The following is a 9,050-nucleotide window of genomic DNA, read 5'->3' on the forward strand; positions in this document are numbered from 1 at the left end:
TGCTAAAGATCCTACAAGAGCCAGGACGGCCCCCACAATAAAGAATTACCTGTCCCCAGATGTTGACAGTGCCACTCTTGAGAAACCCTGTTATAAATGGGCCCCAATGCACCGCAATTACATGTACACATTCTCTTCCTCCTATGAACTGTCTTTTGTATTTTGCATGTAATGCTTACCAAACATTATGGGAGCATCATCTGCATGCCAGGTGCAGTACTGTGGGTAAGCGGGAGGTTAAAAAATGACTGAGACCAGTGAGGAAGACGCGCATCTACACAGCTCTCTCATCTAGTGCATTTAGATTCATGTCTCCCCTTTCCTAGGCGGAAAGCCTCCTGGTAGAAAGTGTATCCTTTAGACTCTCACAGCATCAGCCGCGATGCCTAATGGTAGCCTTTGTTCTCAGCAAATGCCTGTCATACATTCAGGAGTGGGGTCGGAAACAAGGCAAACTTCCCTGTAGGACCTGTACTATGGTTCAGTACGGGAGAGTTCACGTGGTCCTTGTGCTGTTTCTATTCCTCTTCTCATCCGGGTAGCCTCCCACTCCATAGGACAGACATTTCAGTAGCTGAGATGGACTCAAAGGTGACTAAGAGAGGCCGGAGCTCATCCTCTTGCACAGTAGTGATTATTCATGGCTGACCAGGAGATTTCTGAAGAAAAGCCTCCACATCTGGCCTCAGGAAGCCCTGCTCAGGAGGGCAATTCTTGCTTGAGGGTGTCCTGGCAAGGGAGCTTTGGAGCAGGAAAATCATCTGGTCATCAGAGTTCAATCATTCTTACCACCCTTGATGGCACTTTGAACCACACCAGCTCAGTGGACTGTGAAGGTTTGTTTCATAGAAGAATTTGGGGCCAGGCGCAGTGGCTCACGCCTGTAATCCCAGCACTTTGGGAGGCCGAGGCGGGCCGATCATGAGGTCAGGAGATTGAGACCATCCTGGCTAACACGGTGAAACCCCCTAAAAAATACAAAAAAAAAAAAAAATTAGCCTGGCGTGGCGGTGGGCGCCTGTACTCCCAGCTACTCGGGAGGCTGAGGCAGGAGAATGGCATGAACCCGGGAGGCAGAGCTTGCAGTGAGCCGAGATCGTGCTCCAGCCTGGGCAACAGAGCAAGACTCTGTCTCAAAAAAAAAAAAAAAAAAAAAAAGGAAATTTGGGCTGGAGGGTGATGGAAAAGCCAGAAGGTACGAACTCTACTCAAGGCATAAAATTTGAAGGCTGCCTGGGCCTGCCCTAACTCCACCCCAGCCCATTTATGGATATGTCCCCATTTCTGCTTCATTGGAACAAGAATGCCAGGACAGTTTCTTTGCTGATGGGCTTCTAGCATAATATATCTCTTTACTATCACAGATTTATATTCCTCATAGTCTACACCAAAGAGCCCAGGGTGGAGTGGAAGATGCTGCAGAGTTATTGCAAGGGGGTCTGTGACCCGTGCAACAAGCCCTGCCTGTAGAGCAAATATATCTTGCCTTACGCATGTACGTTCTACTATTTTTCAAATGCATATTTCACACTTCTATGTTCTACTGTTTTTCAAATATATATAAATACTACTGTGATTACAATAAAGGGATTGATTACAAAGTGTGGAATTCAGAGTGAATTGTCATTCCTCTGCTACTCTTGCCTCAAACCACAACCAATGTCAAATCAGTCGCCTAGCTTGCTTCCGATTTCTTCCTACTTCCACCTCTTCAGTCAAGAACCAGGCCTTGTCAGTTACTCCTTCACAGTCTCACATATGTGTCCTTTCTTCAGCCTTTGTCACCCAACGCTAGCCCTTATCACTCCTCCACTCACGGGGACCAGGGCTGCCCACGTGGTCCCGAGGCCTGAATCCAGAGCGTCCCTCCCACTGCCACCAAGTACATCTTCCTACTGGCCCACACAAGTCCTTGGTGTCAAAATATTTAGGGCTTCCAGTCTCCTTAACCTGATATCCCACCTGCTTTACAGTGTGGCATGAAGAACTATCTCTTGAACACAAAACAAGTCACCTTATCATTTACATTGTCTAATATTTAAAAAACAACTTTTAAAAACCAGTTTTGTGGCCAGGCATGGTGGCTCACGCCTGTAATCCCAGCACTTTGGGAGGCCGAGGCGCGTCATGAGGTCAGGAGTTTGAGACCAGCCTGGCCAACACATCGAAACCGCGTTTCTTCTAAAAATACAAAAATTAGCTGGGCATGGTGGCGGATGCCTGTAATCCCAGCTGCTAGGGAGGCTGAGGCAGGAGAATTGCTTGAACCCAGGAGGCAGATGTTGCAGTTAGCCAAGATTGCACCACTGAACTCCAGCTCCGGCAGCAGAGTGAGACTCTGTCTCAAAAAAAAAAAAAATCAGTTTTGTGTTCCATTAAAATACATTAAGTCGGGTGTGGTAGCATGTGTCTGTAATCCCAGCACTTTAGGAGGCTGAGGCAGGAGGATCCCTTGAGGCCAGGAGTTGGAGACCAGCCTGGACAACATAGCGAGACCCTGTCTCAAAAAAAAAAAAAAAATAGGACAGCAACTGAGACTTAATAAAAATGTCTTCCATGTATTTTTTCTAAAACCAGTTAATTTATATTTGTGGAATAATTTTGTGCTCACTAAACATGTACATACAACGCTATTATGGACTTCAATGAACAGAAAGCTTTTTCCATTGTTTCCAGATCACTCTTTCTCTCTCTTTTTTTTTTTTTTTTTTTTGAGACGGAGTCTGGCTCTGTAACCCAGGCTGGAGTGCAGTGGCGCCATCTCGGCTCACTGCAAGCTCCGCCTCCCGGGTTCACGCCATTCTCCTGCCTCAGCCTCCAGAGTAGCTGGGACTACAGGCTCCTGCCACCACGCCTGGCTAATTATTTTTGTATTTTTAGTAGAGACGGGGTTTCACTGTGTTAGCCAGGATGGTCTTAATCTCCTGACCTCATGATCTGCCCACCTCGGCCTCCCAAAGTGCTGGGATTACAGGTATGAGCCACCGCGCCCAGCCTCTCTCTTTTTTTTAAAGAACAGGTGTTCGCCAGGCACGGTGGCTCACGCCTGTAATCCCAGGACTTTGGGAGGCCAAGGCGGGCGGATCACGAGGTCAGGAGTTCGAAACCAGCCTGGCCAACATGGTGAAACCCCGTCTCTACTAAAAAAATGAAAATTAGCCGGGCGTGGTGGCATGTGTCTGTAATCCCAGCTACTCAGGAGGCTGAGGCAGGAGAATCACTTGAACCCGGGAGGCAGAGGTTGCAGTGAGCCAAGATCGCGCCACTGCACTCCAGCCTGGGCGACAGAGCGAGACTCTGTCTCAAAACAACAACAAAAAACAAACAAACAACAACAACAACAACAACAAAAACAGGTGTTCACCTCTTATTCCCTTGAAATAAGTTGTTGAAAAATCCTGTTGTTCTACACAGCCCTGCTCACCAAACAGTGTGAGAGCTGTGGGCTTGGTTTACCGCCCGCAGGTTCTGATCCCACGTCTTCTTTGCCCTGGTTGGAGAAGGGATGTGAGGAGCGGAGAAGCCGTGGCCCAAACAGGACCTGCTGGCTCCCTCTTGTGGAGAATAGGGAGAAAACATGCGGGAAGAAAAGGGGCTCTGTATATCGGCGAATACTATTTTACTGAAACAACCCCGGGAAATGTGATCTGAAAAATATGGTCTGAGACAGAGTTGTATTTTGCTGTGTATTGCAAAAGGGATTGGAAGTCACTGGGTGGGGGAGTATAAATTGAATAACTAGAATACGCAGAAGATTAAAAAAATTTTAGCCCATCATTTTGTTGTTGGCCCAGAGTAAACCTCTCTCCCAGGGCAATTCATAAGGAACAAACTGGCTTGGGGATCTCTTTTCCCCCCTCTTTCCCTTCTCGTGGTGGGAGGAGGAACAGAATTACCCAAAGGGGTGCCGCGGCTGAGGTGTATGTTCCTGGCAGGGATAAGGCACGGGCGCCTTGGCTCACCCAACAGTCCGGGCAGGCCTCCAGGGTCCTGCGTGTGGACACCAAATACCAAAAACCAACTGAATTGTATGCTTTAAAGTGATGGATTTTATGGTATGCAAATTACATCTCAATTTTAGAAAGGAAATATTTTATTGAGCCAGTTGTTAACTTGATTTAAAAATTGTATTCAGACACATGGTACAACACGTGGGCCTCATTTGTACTCTTGCCCCTGGGGTCCTGCAAATGTCACCAAGGAGTCTGCACATCGAGGTGTGAAATGGCAGTGGGTGCTTTGTCAACTCAGATTTTCAAGGAACCTGGAGCTTAGCAGTTGAGGTGGAGAGTGGTAGGAAATAAGGCTGGATCATAGACAAGGCCAGGTCCTGGAGGGCTTATGAACTGTGAGATGAACTCAGCCTTTATTGGAGGTGAGTGGGATGGACAGGTCTTAGTTGTAGGTTGGCAGTGAGGAATCTTTTTTTTTTTTGAGATGCAGTCTCACTCTGTCACCCAGGCTGGAGTGCAGTGGTGTGATTTTGGCTCACTGCAACTTCTGCCTCCCGGGTTCAAGTGATTCTTCTGCCTCACCCTCCTGAGTAGCTGGGACTACAGGTGCATGCCACCACAGCTGGCTAATTTTTGTAATTTTAGTAGAGTCGGGGTTTCACCATATTAAGCCAGGCTGGTCTTGAACTCCTGACCTCGTGATCTGCCCGCCTCGGCCTCCCAAAGTGCTGGGATTACAGATGTAAGCCACCACGCCTGGCTGATTTTGCATTTTCAAATAAACAGCCATACCTTTTTACTTTCCACTCTAGCAGCTGGTGGGGAGGACAGATCTGAGAGGGACCGTTCTGGAGTCATCGAGGGCAGTCGGCTGTTGCATTCATCTAGGAGAGAGGTGTGCCAGGCCTGAACCCTAAGGCAGTGACAGTAGAAATAAGGCAGAGGAGAGGGCAGGTCATGGAAATGCTTAGCCATAAACTCAGAGGCATGGGGATAGTGGTGGAGTGTGTGGAAGAGAAGGTGGGGGAAGAGTCAAAGGTGACTCATCATTGTGGGTAGTGGTGGCAAAAGTGGGCAGGCTTGGGGCATGTGGAGGGAGAGGACCTGCTGACTGAGAAAATGACCAGTGGGTGTTAGATAAGAAGAGGTCAAGCCCGGAGGCTGGGGTGTGGAGTCTTCATCATATCCTACTCAACCACAAGTTGGGTGAAGATGAACTCTCGTGGTGCTTGAGGGGAAGGATGAGGTTGGTCCCTTGGGAAACACCAGTGTCATCTAGAGCAAGAAGTGGGAGACCCAGCCTGCCGCAGAGTGTTCTAAGAAGGGCGTGGTCAGTGGACCAGATGCCATAAGACCATCAAGGAGAATCAGGAGGTACAAGCCCTGGATTTAGTGACAGTGATGATGATGAGTGCCTTTTGCCAGCTGGTACATTTCAGCGGGATGTTGCATGAAACAGCCGGGTCTCAGTGGGCAAGGAACAAGTGTGAGGCCAGGAAGTGGAGGCAGAGAGTGCAGTCGACTGCAAAGGGCATGACTCCGAGCAGCAGAAGGATGGGTTGAGGGAGGGCTTTTTTTTTTTTTTTTTTTTTTAAAGATCAGAAAGCACCTGCAGGATTCAAACCCCAGCACAGGGAGTTAGAGAGACAGAAAGTCTGGCATGAGGAAGTAACCACTTGAGCCAAAGCTGACCCAAGGGAGGGCTTCATCTAAGGGAGAAGAGGAGGTGGTTACATCATTGCGTTTTATTTATTTATTTGCTTTTTTTTTTTTTGAGACGGAGTCTTGCTCTGTTGCCCAGGCTGGAGTGTAGTGGCGTGATCTCAGCTCACTGCAACCTCTGCCTCCCTCCTCAGCCTCCCAAGTAGCTGGGATTAAAAGCATGCACCACCACGCCCAGCTAATTTTTGTAGTTTTAGTACAGACAGGGTTTCACCATGTTGGCCAGGCTGGTCTTGAACTCTTGACCTTAAGTGACCCACCTGCCTCGGCCCCCCAAAGTGCTGGGATTACAGGCGTGAGCCACCGTGCCAGGTCTTATTTGCTATTTTTAATAAAAATATTAATGTACGTGGTAAAAAAATCAAACACTACAGCAAATGTATAAAATGAAAAGTAAAATTCTGTACTTTTCAGACTCCCTCGTCTCTCCTTGTCCAAAGGTAACAGTTATGATCAATTTCTTATATATTCATCCAGAAAAAATTTTATACATATGGAATTCTCTTTAAAGATGAGAGAGATTTGGCTGACTTTAAATACTGATGGAAAAGAGCTATATAGAGAAAACGGTGAAGACAGACGGAAGGCTGATGGGAGAGAACTGGTAGCCAGCTCACTCCCGGGGGTGGGGAAGGAACCCAGGGGAGGGGAGAGAAGAGGCCTGGCTTGGTGGTGGAAATGCAGGTTTTTGCTGGGACTGGAGGGAAGGGCAGGGAGCAGGGATGGTGGAAGTGAGGTCAAAGTGTGCAAAACCATGATTTATGATGTCAGCGGTGGGGTGATTCAGGAAGATGGTGTAGGTGTGGCAGAGGCCATGAACATGGGTGGATGGAGTGGAGGTGAAAGTCATGGTGGTTGGGGATCGTTGAGCCCGGGATGTTGGATGAGTTCTTCACACGGATATTAAAATCTCTTAAGATGATGGTGGGTGCCAAAGTTCTCAATGGAGGTAAAGCATAGTCTGGAAAGAGGAATGTCAGAAGAGAAAAAGCCAAGGATGGAAGCTAACGTCCTGGAAGCAACTGGGAGCAGGAAGCAACTGGGAGCAGGAAGCATATCTTCTCTGTCTTCTTGCCTTGGGTCCTGGGCATGTGGGACAATAAGCAGCCTCTCCTTGCGGAAGCAGGAGGTGGATGGTGCATTTAGCAGAAAGGCTGAGAAGCAGAGGGGGTTGTCTTCACGGGAACAAGGTCTCCAGGGTGTTCCAGGTGGGGAAAGGGCCTTGGGGAAGTGGGGTGGCTATCAGTGGCCCAAGGAACCGGCTGGGGGAGGCAGCCAGCAGGAAGGAGAAAACGTGGGATGGGGTGGATAGGATGTGTGGGAGGACTATGGATGAAGTAATGGGCCTCAGTGCTCCCATCTTTGATGCCTATAGTTTTGGCAGCTGCTGAGCTCTCTCGGCCAGGTGGCATGACAGTCACCCCAGAGCCCATGGGTGGAAGCAGTTGTATCTGGTTTGAATAAGGGTTGGGTGTTGCCTTCGTTTGCTAGGGCTGCCAATAACAAGGTACCACAGACCGAGGGGCTTCAGCAGGAGAAATTTGTTGTCTCACAGTTCTGGAGCTCGGAGTCAAATCAAGGTGCTTGTCAGGTCGGTTCCTTTTGAGGACCATGAGGGACAGATCTGTTCCAGGCCTCTCTTCTTGGCTCATAGATGGCCATCTTCTTCTCTCTATGTCTCCTCTATCCTCCCCTCCCCTCCTTTTCCCTCTGCTTCTTTCCTCTCCTCCTCTTCTCTTTTATCTTCTTTTCTAGACAGAGTCTCACTCTGCCCCCCAGGCTGGAGTGCAGTGGTGCAATCATGGTTCACTGCACCCTCAACCTCCCTGGGCTCAGTTGATCCTCCCTCCTCAGCCTCCCTAGTAGGTGGGACTACAGGCACTTGTCACCATGCCAGGCTAATTTTTGTAATTTTTATAGAGATGCAGTTTTGCCATGTTGCCCAGGCTAGTCTCCAGCTCCCGGGCTCAAGCCTTGGCTTCCCACAGTGCTGGGATTACAGACATCAGCCACTGTGCCTGGGCCCTACTATGTCTTTTCATATCATTTCCCCTTTATATTAATACATGTCTGTCTCCCAATTTCCCGCTTTTATAAGGACACCAGTCAGATTAGATTCGGGCTCACCCTAGTGACCTCATTTTAACTTAATTACCTCTGTAAAGACCCTATCTCTCTGAATAACAGTACATTCTGAGCTGCTGGAGGTAGGATTTCAACATATGAATTTTGGGGGAGGGGTGCACAATTCAGCCCATGGCAGGTGTCCTTGGGCAAGATACATAATCATTCTTAGCTCCAGCTGCCCTGGCTATTAACTGGTGATCATAGCAGCCTTAATCCACTGCATTGTTGTAAGGATGAAGTAAGAACAGTGCCTGGCACATTTTAAGTGTTTGATACCAATTCTCATCATCATCATCATCATCATCATCATTATCATCATCATCATCATCACCATCTGGACCTTCTCCCTGGGTTTGGAGACTAGTGAACAGCAAAGGCAGTGAGCTTCTCTATCATTCTCCTGAGCTCATCATCTCAGGTAGGGAGCTCACAGAGAGACCCAGGTCAGGTCTATAGGGAATAGCTGCAGGCAAAGCTAATTTTCTCCATCATTCTCATGCAGATGAAATTAGCTTTAAAATGAGCATCAGGTTCAGCTTGAAATCACAAAAGGACAATATACTGCCTGAGTGGGTAGCAAAAAGGAGAGGGGCAATCCTAACACTTTCTTTTACTTTTTATGGGGGGAGGAGAAAAGAGGGAGTGTTGGCTTTGTTATCTGCATGTAAATCACAGAGCTTTAGGTACTGCTGGTGGGGAAGGTTGTTTCTTTTGTCTTGTCACTCTGAACCATTGTCTTACTACCTGTGCCTCCAGGAGGTATTATGTAACCCACCCCAAACCAGAGGTCTGGCGTGATTTCAGAATTTGTGAGAAAGGCAGATTCTCTTGGCGGTATCTGGAGCCGACTTCTGTAGTGCTGTGAACCCTCTGGAAAAGGGTTTTGGAAACCTAGGAAGCCCAGAATCTTCCTGCAGATTGATAGGAATTCCTTATACTGATTGTTCTCAAATGGAGTCCCTTGAATCAGGTTGATATGCATTCCTTATACTAATTGTTCTCAAAAATGTAGTCCTTGAATCAGCAACGTCAGCATCACCGGTGGAGTTGTTGGAAATAAAAATTCTTCGGCTCTACCTTAGACCTCGTGTTATGGTTTGAATGGATCTTCTCCAAAAATCAGGTGTTGAAACTTAACGGACAATGTGATGGTGTTAAGAGGTGGAGCCTTTAAGAGGTGATTAGGCCATGAGGGCCCTCCCTCATACAGGACTTCATGCTGGTTCGCCCTTCCGCCTTCCACCGTGT

The 9,050-nt window shown here is 48.0% G+C and overlaps 1 pseudogene, besides 1 other annotated feature; it reads right to left on the reverse strand.

Moving 5' to 3' along the window:
- On the reverse strand, positions 5,545-5,647 carry VTRNA2-2P (vault RNA 2-2, pseudogene; annotated as a pseudogene).
- Positions 8,163-8,791: an enhancer, noted in NCBI's record as "OCT4-NANOG-H3K4me1 hESC enhancer chr2:65785184-65785812 (GRCh37/hg19 assembly coordinates)". NCBI's record gives its function as "activates a minimal SCP1, AML or CMV promoter by ChIP-STARR-seq in naive and primed H9 embryonic stem cells {active_cell/tissue: H9 hESC(naive and primed)}" and the evidence as "EXISTENCE:reporter gene assay evidence [ECO:0000049][PMID:30033119]".

This window comes from Homo sapiens, chromosome 2 (assembly GCF_000001405.40).
Source record: "Homo sapiens chromosome 2, GRCh38.p14 Primary Assembly".
Lineage (NCBI taxonomy): Eukaryota > Metazoa > Chordata > Mammalia > Primates > Hominidae > Homo > Homo sapiens.